At 46.6% G+C, this 23,880-nt stretch overlaps 1 long non-coding RNA gene across 1 annotated transcript in view, besides 2 other annotated features; it reads right to left on the bottom strand.

The window, feature by feature from the left end:
• Positions 5,127 to 5,688: an enhancer, noted in NCBI's record as "H3K4me1 hESC enhancer chr11:124713053-124713614 (GRCh37/hg19 assembly coordinates)". NCBI's record gives its function as "activates a minimal SCP1, AML or CMV promoter by ChIP-STARR-seq in naive H9 embryonic stem cells {active_cell/tissue: H9 hESC(naive)}" and the evidence as "EXISTENCE:reporter gene assay evidence [ECO:0000049][PMID:30033119]".
• Positions 5,689 to 6,252: an enhancer, noted in NCBI's record as "H3K4me1 hESC enhancer chr11:124712489-124713052 (GRCh37/hg19 assembly coordinates)". NCBI's record gives its function as "activates a minimal SCP1, AML or CMV promoter by ChIP-STARR-seq in naive H9 embryonic stem cells {active_cell/tissue: H9 hESC(naive)}" and the evidence as "EXISTENCE:reporter gene assay evidence [ECO:0000049][PMID:30033119]".
• The window catches only part of MSANTD2-AS1 (MSANTD2 antisense RNA 1), a 34,060-nt gene continuing 24,537 nt past the window's right edge, over positions 14,358 to 23,880 (bottom strand). The window contains exon 5 of the long non-coding RNA NR_103862.1: positions 14,358 to 15,959. This is a non-coding gene — a long non-coding RNA (MSANTD2 antisense RNA 1). The remainder of the gene's footprint in view (positions 15,960 to 23,880) is intronic.

Genomic DNA, 23,880 nt, shown 5'->3' with positions numbered 1-23,880 from the left:
CTGACATCACTGAGTCTTTATCGCTTTGTTTCTATGTGCTTGTGTGCGTTCCTAGATTTGTTTGTATTCATTGAATATTGGACCTTTCTCCACTATCTGCAGGGATCTCTTGACCCTAAAGTCCCTCATTCCACTGCCTCACATTCATCTTTAGCCTCCACTGCCTCACACTGAGCCCCTGTAAGGGGCTCCTTTTCACTGACTTCTGGATCTCAATTCCTGGCAGTAAAGATGACTCCAAGATCTCCCTGGATTCCCACAGAGAAGCAGAGTCTGCCCTGGGAAAGTCCAGCCTCACTCTAACCTCACTCCCCATCTACACAATGAGATGCATCTAGGTTTTATGGGCATAGAGAGAAGTCACCATTCTGAAAAGTCATGGGAAATACTCCCTCTCTCCTTCCTTCTGTTTGTGTGTCCCTTTCCATTTCTTACGGCTTCTCTTCCATGTCTCTCTCCCCTACCCCCATCCTGCTGCCTGTTTATTCTTTAAGCCTTACCTCCTAAGTCCTGATTGCATAGCTCATAAATATTCAGCATCTCCTAGGAGCAACCTCTGAATGGTATTTCACCACCCAGCGTTGTTCCCTCCTGTAATCAGAAATGGGGCTAGACTTTTCTCAGAGTCACTTGCCTTCAACCCCTGAGCCCTCCACTTATCAGGATGAGGGCTTTATTTTCCTCTTCATGGTCTTAATCATAAAAAGATTTCTCACTGTGACTTTGGAGCCCGGTATAGATTCTAACCTCCATCATCTCAGGGTCCTGTATCTCTAAATGTGAAAACTTCCAAATATTCCATGATAAGACAGTATACCTATTCCAAGGCAATTACACTGGCATTAGAAAAGGAAAAGGAAATAGAAATGGGTCTAGAGTTATAATTCAGGTGGAAAAAGTATAAGCACTGTACCTGGCACATAGAAGATATTCAGTAAATATTTCAATTATGCTGGATGATTTCCAATGTGCCTATGAAAAAGATGGAATGAAAAATAAACCAAAGTATAACCAACAGTGGAATTAGGTGTGAGAGAATGTATACAACTTTTCCATCTTTCCTCCATTTTTGGATATTTTGTCATCCTAATTAATAATGGAAAAATATACAATTATCATTTAGAAAGGGTGAAGTAGAGGAAGGTGGGCAGGCAGATTACGGCCAGCTCTCCTTAGCGCCCCAAACTCCTGCCTCTTTGGGCATCGTAGGACAGCCCAAGGCCGCAGAGGCTAGAGTCTCTTTCCCCCCATTGGTTTGGCACCAGAGCCAGCAAGGCCAGTTGTTTGTATTAGGGTGAAAGAGGGAACAAAGAGGTGGGAATAGGAAGTAAGTGCAGAGAATCAGAGAAGTGTGGTTTCTTTGCAAACATCCTCCCCAAACCTCTCTTCTATGATATTTTAAACAGATGTCGTCCAGGTTTGTCTTGAATCCTTCCAGAGGCAGGGAGCTCAGAACCTGATGGGCAGTGCCTAGGACAAGGTAAGGCAGCTCTCACAAACAGCAGGTCTTCTCTACAGACACCTGCCTCATCTGTCGGGCTGGTCCTGCCTCTAAATAATTGGTTCAGAAATGAATAGGAAGAGAAGCCGGGCACAGTGGCTCATGCCTGTAGTCTCAGCATTTTGGGAGGCTAAGACAGGTGGATCACTTGAGGTCAGGAGTTTGAGACCAGCCTGGGCAACATGGTGAAACCCCATCTCTACCAAAAAACAAACAAACAAAAATTAGCTGGGCATAGTGGTGTGCACCTGTATTCCCAGCTACTTGGGAGGCTGAGGGAGGAGAATCACTTAAACCCAGGAGGCAGAGGTTGCAGTCAGCAGAGATTGCACCACTGCACTCCAGACTAGGTGACAGAGCAAAACTCTGTCTCAAAAAAATAAAATAAAATAAAAAAGCGGATGAGAAGAGAGAGCAGAGATGGAAGTCCAAGATATAAGGAAAAGAATATCTCTTGGCATAAGAGTCACATATTGATTGAGACACTAAAGGCTGAAGGTCGAGCTCATTGTTTAACTTGCCTTGAGCCATTTCTGCTCAAAATCTACAAGAGGACTGAGGTTGGCAGAATTTGGGGGTTGGCTGTGTAGCAATGACTTGGGCCAGTATTCAGAAAAGCAGCTTCATAATCCCCATTTAAATCCTATTTCAGCACAATTTACGTTGGAGATGGGAGTGGGGACTATTCCATGGGGCTATTTCAGAAAGACCAGGGATGCTGTCAATGGAAGCTGTGAAAGTGTCTGTGTGTGGAGGGTGGAGACAGGGCCCATGTGTTTTGGGCTCTATTAACTATCTCCCTCCCATCCATCACAGCCTCCCCCCGGGCCTCCACAGCCCTGGCAGCTGGGTCACCCCGGGGAGGCTGGGCTCGGGGTCCCTAAAGGGAACTAGGCTTCAGGCAGAGCAGTGGAGACACATGTGTGCCGGGCTGGGTTGGGGCCGGCACCTCATTGAGAAGGGGGCTCTCCAAGCTGGGCTTCATTAGGGCAGTGGCACTAATAGGGAGGGGGTCCTGGGGGCTGGGCTGACAGCCAGTTACTTGCTCGTCTGCATTATGGATTAACCCATCTGGGCCTGGGAGATTGGCTCTGAAAGGGGCACAAAAGGCGGGGGGCGTGACCACAATCACACACTGAATTATCCCGTCTGAGCGCAATTGTCCACCAACAAACGGGGCCTCAGGATGGTGACCCCCTTGGGTTCTCTTCATCCCCCATCCCTTGCCCCATAGGAAAAGCCAGAGATAAACTGCTGCCTGGTTAAAAAACAGGGTTTGGGGCAAGGAGGACAAGGATGCCATTCCAGAGAGACGAGGAATTTAGGGGAGAGGAGTGGGATTTGAGGTTCAGCCAGAGAAGCCAGGAGCCAAGCAAAAGTTCTCCCAACATACTTTTTGACTTCAGCTGTCCACCTCAGAAACAAAGAACGATGTAAGAAACACACCTGTCGGGAATACCAGGCAGAATCCAGGAGCAGAGGGGCGCAGTGTAGGGGAAAGGCAAGGGAAGGACCAGAGTCAGGTGTCTCGCATCTCACCTGTCACCCCCTCTGAGGCTAATTGATTCCAGACATGAATAAGGGGCTCTCACTTGGGGTCTTGAAGGACCCCTGCCCTGCTCTGGCATCTCTGATGCTCTCCCAGTGGGAGTGCCCCAACCCCTTCCCCACGTCCTCCTCCAGGAATAAGACCCTGTGCGATGCAGGGTGATGGAGGGAAGAACAGGAGGGGGCGGCAGGCAGGGGGGCCCTCTCCTCTGCCTAATCCTCTCATTACCATCTCATAATCAGAATCACGCTTTCAATGTAAATGGGGATGTTAAATATTGGTTTCTCTAGACACAAGCTCCTTTGGAGAAAATTATTTATGCTCCCCCTTTTGCCAGTACTGGTGGCCCCCACAGTGGAGGGGGGGATGGTGCAAAGCATTACTGAGGGCTGGGGGCTTTAGAGTCAGACTGGTGGGAAGGTGGAAGTGTCTGACTTCCGCGGGGGGAGACTGATTTGTTTTAGGTTGGCCTGGGCAGCCTCAGTTTCCCTGATTCAGCAGAAGAAACTCATCCAGAGGAAATTGGCTCATTTCAAACTCATCAAGACTTGGTAGGAGCTGATTGGCTTCCGGTCTCAAATCATTCTCGACTGGAGAGCGATATGGAGTTGTAGATCCCAAAATCAGATTACTAGGGGAGGGGAAGGGCATTCACGGGAGAGCTCAGGCTCTTTGCCCTGTTGCCCATTGCTAGAAACTCCTGGCATGTCCCAGGGTAGTGACCTGCACTCTCCAACCAAGGACAAAAAGTGGCAATGTCCTTTCACATCCAGAACTTCCTGTTTGCCGTTTCACAGCAGTCCTGCGACACAGGGAGAGCAGCTACCATTCCCAACCGGCAGGATGAGGCTCAGAGTGGATAAGCAACTCACCCAGGCTCACACAGCTGGTAGATGACAGATTCATATGGTAACATGGGTTATCTGAGTCCAAACTCACCCTCATCCCTTCGCACCATGCTCTCTTAAAATTCAGGCTACTACTCCTCTGCCACTTGTAGGAAGATGGGGAACATTTGGTGTGTCCGTCTTTTGACTACAGAAGAGTGTGCATTGAGGGTGTGCGTTGAAGGCGTGGGGGTCACTGCCTGAGGTCAGGCAGAGGTCACTCTCAGCTCTACTGCCGCAGTTAGGACACAAGGATGCGGACTGCTGGAAAAGCCATCACCCTGCCTGCTCTCTCTCTCTGTTCAGTGGCTCCATCCCTCACTGCCTTGTCTCTACTCTGGGTTCAAAACTGGGAATGAATGTGAATCACAAGAGTCTTGAGCTCTTGGCCTCAAGTGATCATCCTGCCTCAGCCTCCCAAGTAGCCGGGATTATAGGCACAAGCCACAGAGCCCGGTAAGTTAATATTAATAGTATTAATAATTGCTTCTTCTCACATTTGCTTAGCATTTTACAGTGTACAAAGTCCCTCTCTGGGCCAGGCACAGTGGCTCATGCCTGTAACCTCAGCACTTTGGGAGGCCAAGGCGGGCAGATCACTTGAGGTCAGGAATTGAAGACCACCCTGACCAACATGGTGAAACCCAGTCTCTACTAAAAATACAAAAAATTAGCTGGGCGTGGTGGTGGCCACCTGTAGTCCCAGCTACTTGGGAAGCTGAGGAAAGAGAATCACTTGAATCCGGGAGACAGACATTGCAGTGAGCCAAGATTGTGCCACTGCACTCCAGCCTGGGCGACAGAGTGAGACTGTGTCTCAAAAACAAAAACAAAGCCCTTCTCTGGATTTGAGGGTATGATTTGATGCTCACACCCGCCTTGAGAACTAGCACCACAGCCTTATGCTAAGGATAGGGCACAGGTTCTGGGATCAGCCTGTGTGTGTTCACTTCCGGCTCCACTGCGTATTAGCTGGGTCAGTCCTGGCAAGTAGCAGTGCGACCTCAGGCAAGTTAAGACCCTGCTCTCTGCCTCAATGTCCTTATCTCTGAAGTAAAGACGATAATAACAGAGCCTACTTCCTAGAGCTGTTGGGAAGAATCAATAAGATTATACACGCCAAGTGCTTAGAGTAGTGTCTGGCACTCACTAAAAGCCATTTTTAGGGCGGGTAAGGAGTGTGAGCCCATCTTACAGACGCAGAAGCTGAGGCTCAAAGGACTAAGTAACTTGTCTAAGGTTACTCGGTTGGCACGGCAGAGCTGATCCTTAATTCGGATCTGGAATGCAATCTGCAGGTGGTCTGGGACCCATGCCCAAAGTTCCCTGAGGAGAAGAAGAAAGTGGCGGTCTCCTGAGGTCCTTTGTTGTGTTTTAGATGGCAAGGCAGGCTCTTTTGCTGTTTAGCCGGGTTAGCCACAAGCGGAGGAGACCGACTTCAGTGCGGCCGGTATGACTTGGGGCGACCCCTCCTCCCCCCCGCCCCTGGCTTGAGGCGGCGAGAGGAGCCTGGGGCACCATGTGGCTTGCGCTAAGCCGCTACTAGAAAGAGAGGGCGGGAGATGCCTTCGGAGGACCCCCTCCAGGGCCTCGGAGAGGCCTTCCGCGGCTCAGCTCCCTGCGTTTAGCTTTCTCCTCATTAACTCCCCGGCCTCATTAATCAGCCCCGATGAAATGCGCCCCCGGGAACGCTGCCCGCCCGCTCCGCCGTTTGGCGCTTTAATTATCCTCCCAGCGGGAGGAGGCGGGGTTGGCGAGGCTGTGTGTGTGTGTGTGTGTGTGTGTGTGTGTGCGCGCGCACACACACACACACACATACACACACGCGCGCGCACACACAAACGCACACATGCATGCACAGGTCCGAGGATGTCCGAGCCAGGCAGAGCCTGGGTCGTGACCCAGCCAGGGCTGCAGACCCGGCTGGCCTCGCAGGATATTACCTCAGCCCCAGCAGCCCTAATATCTCCTGGGCATCTGCCCAGCGAGCCTACTGCCATGCGGTCGTTTGCATCAAGTCCCTTCCCTGCAAGGGAAGGGGGTCCTCTTTCTCTCCAAAACAGTCCACAAACCTTCATCTCTTTTGTTTAATTTCATTGACTAACCAAATCCTTACTGGCCTGCACCTACTTTGTGCATTGGGAACATGGTTGGGAACATGATTTAGGAGATGGAGATACAGACATAGCCCCTGTCAGGCATCAGGAAGCTTCCACACCGGCCAGGAGGGAAACAAGTGAAAAAGCAAACCAAACAAAGAGCAAAACCACCCATCAGTGGCAAGGTCCTCATCTTAAAGTGAGCCAGAATGCTGTGGAAGTGCGGAGTAGGACATGGAATGCAGTCAAGGCTTGCCAAGAAGGCCTTTCCTAAGATCAAAGCCTGGAGTGGGACTTAAGCTAGAAGTGGAAGCCAGCCAGGGAAGCAGTGGATGTTTAAAGGAGTAAACAGCAAATACAGAGAGGACATAACATAGACAAAACTGTGTGCACAGAGCCCTGTGGCTATTCCGTCCAGCTGGAGGACGGAGTTGTGACAAGGAGACAGCATGAGGTAAGGAGCTAGCCATGGCAGAGCCCAGGACATGAGGAGCCTTGTGTGCTGTGCTAATGTTGACTTCGATGTAACCTAAAGGCAATGAGCAGTTAGTGACGGATTTTAAAGCCAGAGAGTGACATGGTTAGACATATGTTTTGGAAAACCTCATTGCGAGTGAGGAGGATGAGTTGGAGGAGGACAGGAATGGAGGAAGGGAGGCTAATTAGCAGGCTAGGTGGCTGATTGGATGTGGGAGGCAAAAGAGGGAGTGGAGTTTGGAATATTCCCAAGTTTCCTCTGCAAGGTGTGTTTGCAAATGGGGAGGAAGGTTATCTTGAAGTGGTCCCAGGTCTCTGGCTCAGCTCAACTTGCAGGTAAGGCAGAAACCAGCTGGTCTTCCCTGTTTGCTTTACCCTCGTCTTGGTAGGCAGCCAGGAGACTTGTCTTCCAGTCTCAGGAAGGTAAGCTACTTCATCAGCTCTCTCATCTATAAGGTGAGAGACTTGGATTGGATCTGCTTTACAGACTTACTCCTGCAGGGCAGGGGGTCCAGGGTCTAAGAAGATCAAAGCATGCCAAGGCAAGAATGAATGCCTACTGAAGGAGGCAGTGCCCCTCAGCCAAAGTCTGCTCTAGTCTTGCTGGAAAAGGACTCAAGGTTGCCAGATATTCTACAACGGAAGCCAGAGGTCAATGTTTTTAATATGACATCTTCTAATTTTAAAATGCCCAATCAAAATATACTTGGTTTGAAACACATGAGATATATTTAAATCCATTTGTTCATAAGTGATTTAAAAAAAATCGTTGGTCACCATTAGGGGAATCTGAGGAATCACCTCATTATTTTGATAAATAATAAGGGAAAGAATCAAGCATTTATCCTGCCTTTCCTATTTGACGTGTACCTCTGCATAAACAAATCATTGATGACAGATTCTCTTTAGAGAAGTATTCAAGCTCATAAATGAAGAGTGAATCATAGAACTAGAATGTCACAACTTGGCAATCCCTAATGAAATAATGGGTCTAGACAATGGTCATCACTGACAAGCAGACATTACTTTGGATCGAATTAAACTATGGTCTATGAATTATTCTTTAAAAAATCCAGCATTAATTGATCAAGCCTCTATATCTAACAACCAATTTACAGGAAATGTAGAGGTAGAAGAACATGTTAAATGGCACCATGGGGATACATTTAACAAAATCCAGACTGTGGAAAATTCTACAGAACAAATGATCTGGTTTATTTAACAAATAAATTTCCAGGAAAAAAAGAGATTAACTGGGGGATTATCCGATTAAAGGAGAGAATGCACTGTGGAGATTCATTTGGATCCCAATTTGAACAATAAAGAAAAATAAGACAATTGGGGAAGTTTGAACATTGACTATATATTTGAGGACAAGGAATTATTGTTTTAGGTGTGATATTGATATTATTATGCTATTTAAAAGAATTCTTATCTTTTAGGACTACTTTTTAGTACTTAAAGAAGAAATGATAGGATTTCTGAGATTTGCTTCAAATTCTGGAGGAGAGTGGGAGAATAGATGAAGGAAGATTGCCTTTGAATAGATTAAGTGCTGGCTGAAACTGGGTGGTGGGACTATGGGGGTTTATTATAGCATTCTCACTAATTTATATATATTTATGATCCACAATATGCTATTATTCATGATGGAAAGTTTAAAAAACACTTTATGGACCAAAATGTGTTGGTGGCCTGGATTTGGTCCACAGGCTGCCAGACTGTGGCCTCTAAATCTGATGACACTTCAGCTTCCATCCAACTGTAAATTGCCCGTGAGTCCAAACCATCAGTGGTAGGACCCCTTACTACTAGACTTTGATTCCCCAAACCTTTTTCTGGTCCCTTGTCAGGTCCTTTCCCAGAGGTTCCCATCCCACAGGGAACGCGGTAGTGTGGCAGAGAGGAGCATTAAACAAAGCCATGACGACCAGCCAGAGTTCCCTGGGACGGAAGATACCAGAGGATTGGGGTGCTTAGGATTGGGGTGCTTGGAGCAGGGCGTCTGGAGCTGTCACAGACTAGCGCTGCTCCTCTATCCAATTCTCTAGCCTCCGTGTTGAAGATACACACTGCATCCGGCCAGACCCACTTTTTACCTGAGCATTCCAGAGCCCAGCCAAGGCAAAGACATCTACTACCCAGGAAAAAAATAATAATAAAAGGCTGAAGGCTCCCCTGCGGAGTTCGGGTTAGAGAAGAGGGTGGTCAGTCTCAGGGAGACAGAGCGATTGGGGCAGAGGAGGGGAGAGAGTGAAAGTCCCCTTGTCCGAAGGCACGTGAGAAGGACAGTGCAGCAGACGGGCACGGAGCTATTTCCGTGCGGTCTCTTGTCTTATTGCATGTCCCCCCGCCCCACGCAGTGAACTACCCTTCCCTTGGCACGTGTCTGCGGCGCTGGCTGCTCATTTAGAAACGAAGGGGCCAGCTCGCAGAGTGCATCGCGCGGGCGGCCGCAGAGGGGACGCACAATAGGCAATCAGCGGCCGCGGGGCGGGAGGGGAAGGCGCGGGGGCGCTGCCGGGGGCGCCCGTAGCCTGCGCGCTCCAAGGGCGCTTCCATCCCTCCCCAGCCCCGGGGCCTTTTATTGTTCGCTGGACCAGCTCCTGTTCGTCGGACTGGCGCTGGCGTGGGAGGTTTGGCGAGAGGCGGTCTAGGCCGTTGCCCAGCCCGGGATCCTGCGTGCAGGCGCGCCCTCCACTCGCCCGCGCTCCCACCCAGGTGTCCGCGTGCGGGGATTAGGCGGCCCGCCGGGCTCCCGCCTCCTCCATCAGCCGCTAATGGGCCGTCCTCGGCCTGGCCCCCGCGCCATTGTGTGCGCGTGGGGGTGACGCCGGGTCTCCGCGGCGCGGTGGAGGGTGACCGCGCGCCGCTGCCACCCCGCTTCACACCTGCTCCCCGCCCCCAGCCCCGGCCGCGCTTCGTGTTCCCTCCCTCCCCGCGGGAGGGGTCTCAGCTGGGGCTGCAGTTGGTAAAGAGGCCGTGGAGAGGCCGGCGGCGGCCCGAGGAGGAGCCATAAATTTGGAGCAGATGCGGCCTGACAGTCACCCAGCCCGGGGAGGTGGGGGAGGGCTCTACGCCCCTCCCAGGCCGCGTCTTCTGGTTTGCAGCTGAGTTAGATGGATTCCAGGCCGAGGTGACCCGGGACTTTGGACACACGGAGCCTGTGCTCCTCACTCCCCCACCTCTGCCGGCCGCCCATTGTGTGCCCACGTGCAGGGAGAAGGAATAGGGGGCAGGGACATGTCTGCATTGGCTTATGATTTTCCCCCTAAAAAATGTCGTTTTCCAGCAGAGACTGTGACAAAGTCGGCCACCCTGGCTCTGAGCTGGCGCTTTTTGACAGCAGCCAGAGAAAAATATGGAAGATAGTAGAAGCAAGCTTCAGCTGTTCATTCTGCACTATTTTTTAAGTGCCTGTTTTGTGCTAGAAAGGTAAGGAGGCACAGGCATACAGGATGGGGAGATGGGAAAAGGTGGCGGAAAAAATACCAAGGACTAATACTTGCCATACTATAAGTATTGTGTGTACTGTAATTCTGCACATTAAATAGTATTTTCCTTTAGAAAGTGGCAGTTCCTCCAGCAGAGGAGGGAGCAGGGTGCAGTGTCTCGGGGGGTTGATGGAGTTCGCTCTCAATCCAGGTATCCCATCCACAAATATATGCGTGTCAGGGGTGCTTTCCGCGGATCTGGAAGGGAGTGAAAAGAGCTGGAGCTGCACCCAGGTGGGGTGGACACAGCCCTATTTATCTTATTTGCTCTGGGTACTGTAGGGATTCTTCTCTAGTGTCGCTTTAATTGAAGACTGAGTCTCCCATCTGAAGATCTTGTGACCAAGGGTGATTGGAGGGTCAGTGTCCACAAAGCTGGTGCTCAGTTGGCAAAAACCTCTGCCACCTCCCTTTGTGGCTGTTCTCTGCTCCCTCTAACACTCTGGGCTGGACTGGGTAACTAGATTGGCTTCTAGGACCCATTGCTTCTCCCCTTAGCTCCCACTCCGACAAGTCTCCCTGGTCTGTGCCCAGAGGATCACCCTAAGACTAGAGCAAGCTTGTGCAACCCACGGCCCATGGGCCGCATGCAGACCAGAACACCTTTGAATGCGGCCCAACACAAATTCATATATGTTCTTAAAACATGATGAGGTTTTTTGCAAAAAAAAAAATTTTTTAGCTAGTGTATTTTATGTGTGGCCCAAGACAATTCTTCTTCCAATGTGGCAGGGAAGCCGAAAGATTGGACACCCCTGGACTAGAGATTCACAGCTTGCATGAAAATCACCTGGAGGCCTTATTAACCCTGCCCTACAGTTTCTGATTCCTTTGATCTGGGGTACGGGCAGAGATATTGCATTTCTGAAAGTTTCCCAGGTGGTGACAGTGGTGATACTGGGGGCCACACTTTGAGAGTACTGGCCTACAAGGAAAGGAAAATAGGGGCAGGTGAAAAAAGGAAGGAGCTGAAGTCTTCAGTGCTGGAGGAGGTTACTGGAAGCTGAAGCTCTCCAGGGTACTTGGGTATCTTCACCCTCTGTGAGGGATCCATAGGCCAAATCCCCAAATAATTGTGGACATATTCCAGAATTCATATTCTAGTATTCGAGTGTGTGTGTGTGTGTGTGTGTGTGTGTGTGTTTCTGAAGACTTAGCACTCCCCCTAATGGCTTCAGATGATTCTGCACTCTCCTCAGCCTTTCAACGGGAAGCAAGAATTACTCTTATTTTCCCAGCCTAACTTGGTTATCCACTCCCATCTCTTTGTCACTGATGGAGCGGGGCATTGTCTTACACATTTGTTTACAAATTGAAGAGCATAGTTTTTTTTTACACAATAGTTTGTGTACTAATGAATGAATTAGTGCTATCTTTCCTCTTTAGGAGAACCTTGTTCTCCTAAAATCTACCTTAAGTCACATTTGAAGTGTTGTAGAACCACCTACCAGTGTTCTAAAACACTTCAAATGTGTTCATAGGGAATGAGTTCCAGATGGTTGCCTAAAAATTCTCCCCAAGGTGTCGGTGCCGTTGTCATCAGTTGGGAACTTTTGGCTGGCGGCAAGCACAACCCGAGTCAGAGGTTAAGGATGGATTTGCAAAGTGGAATTTTTAAGTGTGGTATATGGACAGATCAGATGAGAAAATCAAGTGGCATTTTATTTCTCACCACCAGGTGGCAGACCTAACCTCATTAATGAGAATCATCCCTAGACTTGAAGCCTGGCCTGAATTCTACTTTTTTCATATATGAGCCAGGGCAAAAGAGCTGTTTCTCTACTTAAATGACTCAGAAATTTGGGGTAGGGAGAACAATGCTTGAAAATATCTTTGTAGGCCGCGGTGGCTCACGCCTGTAATCCCAGCACTTTGGGAGGCCGAGGCGGGTGGATCACGAGGTCAGGAAATCGAGACCATCCTGGCTAACACGGTGAAACCCCGTCTCTACTAAAAATACAAAAAATTAGCCGGGTGTCGTGGCGGGCGCCTGTAGTCCCAGCTACTTGGCAGGCTGAGGCAGGAGAATGGCGTGAACCCGGGAGGCGGAGCTTTGCAGTGAGCCGAGATCGCGCCACTGCACTCCAGTCCGGGCAACAGAGCGAGACCCCGTCTCAAAAAAAAAAAAAAAAAAAAAGAAAATATCTTTGTAACTGCCGCCAATGTACTTGAGTAATCCCTTGAGCTTCCTGATCCGTGAGGAAGGGCTCGCTGATACTTTTTTTTCCTTCTGGAAAGAGGGAAAACATATGGATGTAACAAAATGGGTTACTTAAGAAAAATGTAAGCGATCTAACTTCTAACCAGAGGTTTCTGCCAGGGCATAAACACATGGCAGCCCTAAACAGCTTTGCAGGCACATGGCTTCCTTCACTTCCAGCCCGTCTGGCAGGCACCCTCTTAATTCCTACCAACTTAATTCCTACCACCCGAGTTCTTTGTTCTGTCGCCCATATTGAAGTTTCCTCAAACTAAAAATGAAAGCTTTATTATAATTCTGGAATCTACTCAGGGCCTTCTTAACTAAATTCTAACTTGCAGTATACGGACATGTAGTTGATCTCTCCTTTATCCCAAATGATCTTGACCCTCAGATCATAGTCAACGTATAAATTAAATTCAACCTAAATTATATAACTATAGCAAGGGTTACACACACACAGCAAGAATGCAGGACGGGCGCGGTGGCTCATGACTGTAATCTCAGCACTTTGGGAGGTCAAGGTTGGCGGATCACCTTAGATCAAGAGTTCAAGACCAGCCTGGCCAACATGGCAAAACTCCATCACTACTAAAAATATAAAACTTAGCCAGGTGTGGTGGCGTGTGCCTGTAGCCCCAGTTCTCAAGAGGCTGAGACACGAGAATCTGCTTGGGAACCTGGGAACCTTGAACCTGGAAGGCTGAGATTGTAGTGAGCCAAGACTGCACCACTGCACTCCAGCCTGGGCAACAGAGCGAGACTCTGTCTAGAAAAAATAATAATTATATATATATATATATCTTACAGGAGGGGTCAATGAATGTTTTGGGAGAAGGGCAGTGAAGATTTCTGTTCTACACACCTTTCTCATCTCAGGGCTATATTACAGCAGATTCTGACAGTATAGTAGCTTTCTTCACAATGTCAAGATCAGAGCAGATCTATACCTTACATAGAAGACAGAAAATTGACTATACCAACATCAGGTCCTCCAGCATAGGTGGGACATTACCTTTTCAGCCTGCAGGGCTTAGTACTTCTTTCAGCTGATCGGCTTCAGGCCTCTTCCTCATTTTGGAAAGGGCAAATCTCAGGTGCACACTGAAAATCTTAGACTAAGTAGCCTGGTACAGTGGCTCACGCCTGTAATCCCAGCACTTTGGGAGGCCGAGGAGGGTGGATCACGAGGTCAAGAGATCGAGAACATCCTGGCCAACATGGTGAAACCCTGTCTCTACTAAAAATACAAAAATTAGCCAGGCGTGGTGACATGCACCTGTACTCCCAGCTATTCGGGAGGCTGAGGCAGGAGAATCGCTTGAACCCAGGAGGCGGAAGCTGCAGTGAGCCAAGATCATGCCACTGCACTCCAGCCTGACGGCAGAGCCAGACTCCGTCTCACAAAAAAAAAAAAAGAAAATCTTAGACTAAGTAAAACCCTCCAGCCCAGAGTGCTTCTCTGCATTGGGCAATTCACTCTCACTGCCAGAGCTCCCTTATACACTTTAAATGCTTATAAATACACTAACAGACAGAGCCTATGGGAAACAATATAAGAGGATTGGATAGTAAGTATTTGGTTTTTTCTATGTAGTTTGTTAACAGAATCAGTCAAAATATATTTATGGAATGCCCACAGGCTACATAGCATGGTACTTCACCCTTCATTGAAAATCCATTAAAACAATTACTGGGTCATGCCTGGAAACTTTTTTCACAAAGGAATTTTCTTTAGTTGCTGGGTTGACAGGAACTAATTTGAGATGCAAAACTAACAACCCCATTTGAACTAGCAAGCCCTTATGTAAACCACTACAAGTGATATGTTTGAATTTATTCGCACCTGTGCCTGTATATATGGACTTAAAAGCTAAAGATATCGTGGTATTAATATGCATATAAGGGAAGGAGAGTTTTAAAAGTTAGTGAATCATCTTCCACTAATGCTTGGTAAATGTTTACCAAGAAGGTTGTGCCCTGGTTATAGGCCGGTAATGACCACCAATAAATAAAACTGTTTTCACCTCTATAACAGTTATGGAATGTCATTCCTTCTTGCCTTTCATACCAGGAAAACTAGGCTGAAGAAAAAAATCACTTCTTTTTAATCAAGGCAAAAACAGACTCACCCAACCAAAAACCAACCCTTGGTATTTGAAATTAGTTTATTAACATAGGGAGATTTCATATTTTTTTATTGTTTTCTCCCACCACTAACTTTAAGACTTTAACAACCTTTATTAGAATACACACACAGCTATATATATATATTTGGTTCTGTCTTCTCTAAATCATTTGTTTAACAAGGAATTTTTTTACTTAAGGCACTGGTATAGAAAATGTACCCCATTTCTTGCATATCTTGCATGTTATGGGGTCTTGTTAAGTGTTTCCAAGTTTGGTGGAATCACCACCATTTCTACCCCTGGTCCATATTTTTAGTTCCAGATCTTCTCTGCAACCACTATCCCAGTCCAAAACCCTCTACTGTATTCGCTGTCTTCTTAGTGCGGAGGAGAAAGAAAGAGCAGGGTTGGGCAGAGGGTCTTATTCTGCCTTAAAAGAAGGTTATACTTTCTGTCAAAGGATAGAACTCTGACTGACTTAACGAAAAATACAGTAGTATAAGTTTAGACCCAAGGTCAGATAGTCCTGGGGCTAAAGCTCAGATCCATCACTTAGCAATTATGTGATTTGCTGCAAGTCACCTAACTTCTCTGAGCCAAGGCTGCCCTTCTCACTTGTAAAGTGAAGCTTAAATAAGATAATACATATGAAAGGCTGGGTGTGGCAGTTGCACCTTAGTCCTTGCACTTTGGGAAGCCAAGGCCTGTGGAGCCCTTGAGCTCAGGAGTTCAAGATCAGCCTAAGCAACATGGCAGTAAGCTGTCTCTACAAAAAATACAAAAATATGCTGGCTGTGGTGGCATGTGCCTGTATTCCTAGCTACTTGGGAGGCTGAGGTCAGGAGTTCAAGACTAGCCTGAGCAACATAGTAACAACCCGTCTCTACAAAAAATACAAATATGCTGGTCATGGTAGTGCATGCCTGTAATCCCAGCTATTCAGGAGGCTGAGGTGGGAGGATCGCTTAAGCCCTGCAGATTGAGGCTACAGTGAGCTGTGTTAGTGCCACTGCACTCCAGCCTGGGAGATAGAGTGAGACCCTGTCTCAAAAAGAAAAAAAAAATGCACATGAAATGCTTAATGTCTGCCCTACTACAATGCATCAGAGAATAGAAGTTATTAGTATCTACCGGACCCAAACCTCTGTGAGAATAGAAGCTTGCTTCACTTCTGTTGCTTTGGGCAAAACTTCACCTGTGATCAAGAGAGTATGTGTGTGTGATACTGTGAAATATATATTTGGTCTTCTCCTGTCTCCTGACATATAGCTTCCCAAACCCTTGGAATCTCTAAAGCAACAGGAGTCTTTTGTATGCTAATGAGGTAAATGGTGGCCCAGCCATGATTAGAGGGCTGGGACTTTCAGCCCCACCCTCCAACCTCTGGGGAAGGGAAAGGATCTGAAGTTTGGGTTGGTCACCAGTGGTCAATGATATAATTATTCATGCCTACATAATGAAGCTTCCATGAAAACCCAAAAGGACAGAGTCTGGGGAGCTTCCAGATAGCTGAACACATGGAGGTGCCTGGAGGGTGGTGCCCTGGAGAGGGCATGGGAGCTCCGCACCCCTTCCCTGTGCATCTCTTCCAGCTGGCTCTTGATCTGTGTCCTTTGTAACATCCTTGTAATAAATGGGTAAGTGTAAGTAAAGTGTTTCCCTGAGGTCTATGAGTCACTCTAGCAAATTAATCAAACCCAAGGTGAGGGCCCTGAAAACCTCAATTTATAGTTGCTTGGTCAGAAGCACAGGTTACAGCCTGTGGTTATGACTGGCGTTTGAAGTGGGGCAGCCTTGTGGGACTGAGCCCGCAGCCTGTGGGATGTGACTGAGCCTGTCTCCAGGTGGAAGGTGTTAGAATTGAATTGGAGGATGCACAGCTGGTATCTGCTGGAGTTAGAATTGGAGGACGCATAGCTGGTATCTTCAGTTTTTTTTTTCTTGCCTCTTTAGTATGCATGTGCAAATACAACCGAAAACTCATTGATAGCTAAGCACAGTGGCTAGCACCTGTAATCTCAACACTTCAGGAGACTGAAGCAGGAGGATTGCTTGAGGCTAGGAGATTGAGACCAACCTGAGCAACACAGAGGGAGAGACCCAGTCTCTTTAATTTTTTTTTTAATTAGCCAGGTATGGCAGCGCATGGCTATAGTCCCACTTACTCAGGAGGCTGAGGCAGGAGGATCACTTGAGCCCAGAAATTCCAGTCCGCAATAAGCCATGATCGCACCATTGCACTTCAGCCTGGTGACAGAGCAAGACCCCATCAAAAGAAAGAAAGAGGGTGAGAAAGAGAGAAGGGGGAGTGGAGAGGAAGGGATGAAAGGAAGGAAGGAAAGGAAGAAAGGAAGGGAGGCAGAAAAGAAGGAAAGGAAAGGAAAAGAAGAGAGAGAGAAAGAAAAAGGAAGAAAGGAAGAAAGAAAGGAAAGAAAGAGAGAGAGAGAAAGAAAGAGAGAAAGAAAGAAAGAAAGAAAAAGGAGAAATCTCATTGAACCACCAAATCCAGGATATTGCAGCATAGGACTTTCTTTTCTGGGAAAAAGCTGTGTTTTGAGCAGGATTAAAAGATGACCAAGATCCTTTGCCTTTCTCTAATTGTTGGTCAATTGAGTTGGATCCTTCCAGAGACGGACACTGAGACAAGCTTTTGAGTGCAAGAAGTTTCTCTGGGGAAGATCACCAATAGGAAAATAAAGGTCTGAGAAGGGAAAGAAGCCAATACAGGGTAAATTGTGGATAGCTGGGGCTTAATTCCTTCAGGGAACTCTGGGACAGATGGCTTAGGATGCACCTCAGAGTTTTCCTACCTGAGGGGCAAGGAAGTTGGGATATGTATCTACCAACCCTCTATCCATCGTTTGTTAAGATCCACTTCTGGGAGCATTAACTGTTGCAGGCACGGCCTTGCCACAGAACCCTAGAGGCCAATACTGCAGCTTTCCTAACAGAGCTTGCAAGAGACTCTGTGTGGCCTACATGCCTGCAACAAGCATCTCTAGCACCATGGAATTACCAGGCACATGGCCCAAGCAGAAAGGCCGCTTAAACTGCAGCTAGAACCTGCTGCGAAGTGTAGTCTTGCTCTGGGCCTCCCTCAAAATCCGTAGCCTTCTGAGTCACCCAATACATGCGTGGGAGCAGTATTCAAAGAGGTGTGTTGCTGTCTCCAAAATCCAAAATCCCAGCAGTACCATACCCCTAAGTGGAAGAAAAGCAAGGTACAAGAACTTGTCCTCACCCTGGGATGTCTTGGCATACCCCAGACAAATGGACCCCTAAAAATTTCACTGATATGGGAGGCCCTGAGTCATTTTGGGTTTTATTTTCTCACCTCTGGTGATATAATTGACATAATGTATTAAAATAGGGAAACTGCATGGAGTTCTGGGGTAAATATCAAGAGAAGCAAGGTCTTTCAGGAAATATTTTGAGGCTGCTCTTGGAAAAGGCCTTTAAGATTCTCAGAAGCCGTGACTGCAAGGTTCCTTCAGACATTGCCTTAAATCATTCATAGGTTTTCACAGGGGTTCTTACAACCATACCCTTGATGTGGTTTTTGGCTTTAACTTTCAGGAAGTCCAGGTCTTGCTCTGTTGCCCAGGCTGGAATGCAGTGGCTCAGTCATGGCTCACTGTAGCCTCAAACGCCTGGGCTCATGCAATCCTCCTGCCTCAGCCTCCCGAGTAGTTGGGACTACAGGTACACACCACCACTGACTTTTTTTTTTTTTTTTTTTTTTTTTTTGGAAATGGTGTCTCCCTATGTTGCCCAGTCTTGTCTCAAACTCCTGGCCTCAGGCAACCTTCCTGCCTCAGCCTCCCAAAGCACTGCCATTACAGGCATGAGCCACCACGGCTGGCCAACTTAGACTAATTTTTACCAGCTGGGAAAACAGAGGACAAGAGACAGTTATGTTTTCCAAACTAGCAAATCCCTGGGCTTCTGTAAATCCTCTAAACTTTGCTTATAAGCTGAATGGTTCCTTCCTTTGCTCATCTCTCTTTTCTTGCATGTTATCATACCGAGGAGAAGCCAAGTGGCACTTTCAACATTCTGCCTGGAGATCTCCTTAATCATGTTTTTAAAATGTTATTAGGTACGTTTTTTTTTATCTTTTAAGTTTCCTCAGAAAACATTTTGCCAATTATTCCAATGACGACATAACACAAGTTGCCCTTTCTTCAGCCTGCAGTGACTGTTTTCTCACTGCCTTTCCAGCTCTAGTTGCCCTTTCTTCCGCCTGCAGTGACTGTTTTCTCACTGCCTTTCCAGCTCTAGCAGCTGTTGGTTTGCCATTTCTCCAGCCTCTGCTCACAGCTTACTTGGTGCTTTTCCAGCCTCTAACCACCAACTGGTCTAAGGGCAGAATTCCAAGAGAAGTAGAGTGGAAGCTACAAGCCTCCTAAGGTTAGGCTCTAGAACAACATCACTTCTGCCACACTTTATTGGTCAAAGCAAGACACAGGGCCTCTCCACATTCACGGAGTGGGGAAATTGACCCAACTCTTTATGAAAAGAGTTGTAAAATAATGGAACAGTGTTTTTCAATTTGCATCAGACATCTTTTCACTAAAACATGGATAGATCTATAGAATAAATTCCTAAACGTGAACTTGCTGATTCAAATGCAAATATGTATTTGCAATTTTGTGATGTATTGCCAAGTCACCCTTCACAGAGGCTGTACCAATTTTGAATTTTACTGCCAATGTATGGGCGTGCCAGATGAGGTTTCCCCAGATCTCACAACATGGTGTGTTATCCAGAATACAGAGTTTTTCCTCTGCCCATATGACAGGTAAGAATGGCATCTCCCTGTAGTTTTAAGTTGTCTTTCTCATGTTATGAGTGAGATTGGGCATCTTTTGTTTAATTAAGAGCCAATTACATATTTTTTCTCAAAACTGGCTATTCATAAGTTTGCCATTTTCTATTTATTTTATTGGCTTGTTATCTTTCCGTGCACTCAAGAACTAGCATATGTTAGGAGTGGGCTATCTGGATACCAATTCTGGGACAGGCTCTCTCTAGACTCTGGACTAAATTTTCCTTAAATAACCAATTTTGGTCTTGCTGAGGTCAACAAATTCTCTCTTCCCCCAGGAAAGGCCATCAGTATGAGGAGAATATAGTAGCTTAATTAAATAAAATATGGCCAATTTCACTCATTGTATGCAAAGTTTACTTACTTCAGACCAGCTCGCTACAAAATAGGAGGTTCCCATGATTACTCAGGTTCAATAATTTTCTAGAACGACTCACAGAACTTGGGGCTGACAATTATAGTTTTATTATAATGACAGGATACAAATTAGAACAAGCCAAAGAAAGAGACACATATGGCAGTATCCAGAGCTAAGAGCATCCTCAGGAATGTGTGGCAACCCAAAAAGCTCATCCTAGTTTTGGTGTCCAGACTCTCTATTGAGGCTTCAGTAGATAATAACTCAATTATTACATGGGTATAATTGAGGGTGGCTGGAATTGGCTAAACACAATTTCCCACCACCTTCCCTCCCTGGAGGTCAGGCTGATTTCACTCCTGTAACTCAGGAAATTTCAAGGGATTCGAGGGAAACTTCCAGAAGCAGAAACAAAGCTCAGACTTTTCTTTGCATAGTGGTAATTCTTCACTACACAAATACCAGTAGTTTTTCTTTGTTTTTGTTTTTAAATCTTAATTTAAAATGTATTTTTCTACAAAAATTAGCCCGGTGTGGTAGTGCACCCATAGTCCCAGCTATAATACTTCAGAGACTGAGACACAAGCATCGCTTGAACCTGGGAGGCAGAGATTGCTGTGAGCCGAGATCATGCCACTGCATTCCGGCCTGGGTGACGGAGTGAGACTCTGTCTCAAAAAAATAAAAATAAAAATAAAAATAAGGCCGGGTGTGGTGGCTCACGCCTGTAATTCCAGCACTTTGGAAGGCCGAGGTGGGCGGATCACAAGGTCAGGAGATTGAGACCATCCTAGCTAACACGGTGAAACCCCGTCTCTACCAAAAATACAAAAAATTAGCCGGGTGTGGTGGCAGGTGCCTGTAGTCCCAGCTACTTGGGAGGCTGAGGCAGGAGAATGGCGTGAACCCGGGAGGCGGAGCTTGCAGTGAGCCGAGATCGCGCCACTGCACTCCAGCCTGGGTGACAGAGCGAGACTCCATCTCAAAAGTAGATAGATAAATAAATAAATAAATAAATAAATAAATAAATAAATAAATTAAAATAAAATGTAGTTTTCTTACATAGTAGCATAAAAAAACAGCCGACACTTGCCTTTCACAACTTGTGTGGCCAATCCCATGTACTTTTGATAGGTTTTGGTCCATTTCTGAGTTGTATCTTTTTTCCTTAAAGGACTGGGGCATATATATACCTCCCATGGAAGGTCCCCTTCATTTTCCCTATGCTAATGTGATCTTGTACAAAGTCTTGGAAGGGACAGAGTGTTTTTCATGTCCTCTCCACCTTCCTTTTCTGATATTTCCAGTAACCCAATTGCCTTCCTTGTGCCCCGTGCACTTTGTTCACTGTGCCCAGGTCCTCCGCTCCTGCTTTTATACTCTTAGCCCTTGCTGGGGAGAGCACCGTTCAAAATTTACTAGGTTACCATTTTCACCCTACTGTCTAGTTATCTGCATGAAAAAACAATATAGTGAACTCTTTTTTATTTCTTTTTTTTTTTTTTTTTTTTTTTTTTTTGAGACAGAGTCTTGCTCTGTCGCCCAGGCTGGAGTGCAGTGGCATGATCTCAACTCACTGCAACCTCTGCCTCCCAGGTTCAAGTGATTCTCCTGCCTCAGCCTCCCTAGTAGCTGGGATTACAGGTGCCCATCACCATGCCTGGCTAATTTTTGTATTTTTAGTAGAGATGGGGTTTCACCATGTTAGCCAGGCTGGTCTCGAACTCCTGACCTCAGGTGATCCACCCATCTCAGCCTCCCAAACTGCTGGGATTACAGGCGTGAGCCACCATGCCTGACCCAATATAGTAAACTCTTAATGTTAGGCTATTAATGTCTGATAACAGATTTAGTGTGTTCTCCCTTTCAGGTATATTTGATTTTGAAAAAGAAATTTTTGTAAAGCACATGGGGATGATTCTCTAATTGCAGAATTTCAGGCCAGAGGGGAAGATATACTTAACAGAGGTCCTGATGAGGGAGTGAACCATGTGGATATTTGGGGAAAGGGTGTTCTGGGCAGAGGGAATAGCAAGTGCCAGGGTCTGAGGCAAACGTGTGCTTTATATACTCTAGAATCAACAAGCAGGCCAGGGTGGCTAGAGCAAGGGAGGCAACAATAGGAGATGAGGTCAGAGAGGCAACTGGATTATTCTGATTGTTTGGGTGATAGTAGACTGAAGATGGGGAAGGGGTAGAAGCAGAAAGATCTCTTAGTTGGCTCTCAAAATAATCTAATCAAGAGATAATGGTGGCCAGAGGCGGTGGCTCATGCCTGTAATCCCAACACTTTGGGAGGCCAAGGCAAGTGGATCACCTGAGGTTAGTTAATTCAAGGCCAGTGGGCCAACATGGTGAAACCCCATCTCTACTAAAAATACAAAAATTAGCTGAGTGTGATGGTGGGGCATGCCTGTAATCCCAGCTACTCAGAGGCTAAGGCACAAGAATCACTTGAACCTGGGAGGCAGAGGTTGCAGTGTGCCAATATCAGGCCACTGCACTCCAGCCTGGGTGACAGAGTGAGACTCCATCTCAAAAAAAAAAGAAAAAAAAAGGGTGGGGGTGGAGTGATAATGGTAATGGTGACTTGAAACAGCAGTGGATGCTGTAAGAAATCCAATTTAGAATAAATTTTGAAGGTAGAGCCCCCAGAATTTGCTGACATATTGGACATAGAGTGAGAAAGAGACAATGACAACTCCATGGTTTTTAGTCTGAGCAGCTGGAATGATGAGGAGGACAGGAAGGAGCAGGTTTGGAGGGGAAGACCAGGAGCTGTTTTGTGCAAACAGTTTGAGAAGCCTGCTAGGCAATGTGGAGATGTCCAGGAGGTGGCACATTATATAAGTGTGCAGTTTGGAAGAGAGGCTTGGTCTGGAGATATAAATTTGGAAGCAATTAGCATATGGATGAGTACTGAGAACAGGGAGACTTGTGCCCTCGATGTGGCACCATTTTCTGGGGTGATCAGCCCGCTACTTGGTGGCAGGTTGATTATATTGGACCTTTTCCATCGTGGAAAGGGCAGAGGTTTGTCCTCACCAGAACAGACACTCCAGATATGGGTTTGCCTATCCTGCACACAATGCTTCTGCCAAGACTATCATCTGTGGACTCACGGAATGCCTTATCCACTGTCATGGAATTCCACATAGCATTGCCTCTGACCAAGGCACTCACTTTACAACTAGAGAAGCGTGGCAGTGGGCTCATGCTCATGGAATTCACTGGTCTTACTGTATTCTCCATCATCCCAAAGCAGCTGCATTGACAGAATGAGGGAAAGGCCTTTTGAAGTCACAATTACAATGCCAATGAAGTGACAGTACTTTGCAGGGGTGGGGCAAAGTTCTCCAGAAGGCTATGTATACTCTGAATCACAGTCCAATATATGGTACCGTTTCCCCCATAGCCAGGATTCATGGGTCCAGGAATCAAGGGGTGGAAATGGAAGTGGCATCACTCACCATCACTCCTAGTGACCCTAGCAAAATTTTTTCCTTCCTGTTCCCGTGACATTACATTCTGCTGGCCTAGAGGTCTTTATTCCAGAGGGAGGAATGCTGCCACCAGGAGACACAGCAACGAGTCCATTAAACTGGAAGTTAAGACTGCCACCTGGCCACTTTGGGCTTCTCTTACCTCTAAGTCAACAGACTAAGAAGTAAGTTACAGTGTTGGCTGGGGTGATTGACCTAGACTGTCAGATGAAATCAGTCTACTACTCTACATTGGAGGTAAGGAAGAATATGCATGGAATACAAGAGATCCATTAGGGCGTCTCTTAGTATTATCACACCCTGTGATTAAGGTCAATGGGAAACTACAACAACCCAATCCAGGCAGGACTACAAATGACCCAGACCCTCAGGAGTGAAGGTTTGGGTCACTCCACTGTGTAAAAAACTACAACCTGCTAAGGTGCTTGCTGAAAGCAAAGGGAATACAGAAAGGGAAATAGAAGAAGGTAGTCATCAATACCAGCTACGACCATGTGACCAGTTGCAGAAATGAGGACTGTAATTGTCATGAGTATAGCCTCCTCATTTTAAGAACATATTTGCACATGTATATACTTGTACTAAGAAAATATCTTCATTTTATTTCCTTTCTTTTTCTTTTATCATGTGACATAGATTTATGGACTTCATGTCATCATTTAAGTGTTGTTAACTTTATGTAATAGCATTTAGGTTAAGGATTAGTGCACTTCCAGTTGTATGAAGGATAGCTGTATTATGTTAGGCATAATTATGACCTTATTATTGTCTTTATTTGAAGATTATGTATAATTTCAGGAGATGTGTATGGGTTCAAGTTGGCAAGGGGTGGACTTGTGATGGTTAATATTGAGT

This window comes from Homo sapiens, chromosome 11 (genome assembly GCF_000001405.40).
Source record: "Homo sapiens chromosome 11, GRCh38.p14 Primary Assembly".
NCBI lineage: Eukaryota > Metazoa > Chordata > Mammalia > Primates > Hominidae > Homo > Homo sapiens.
This window is presented reverse-complemented; position numbering and strand designations above follow the sequence as displayed.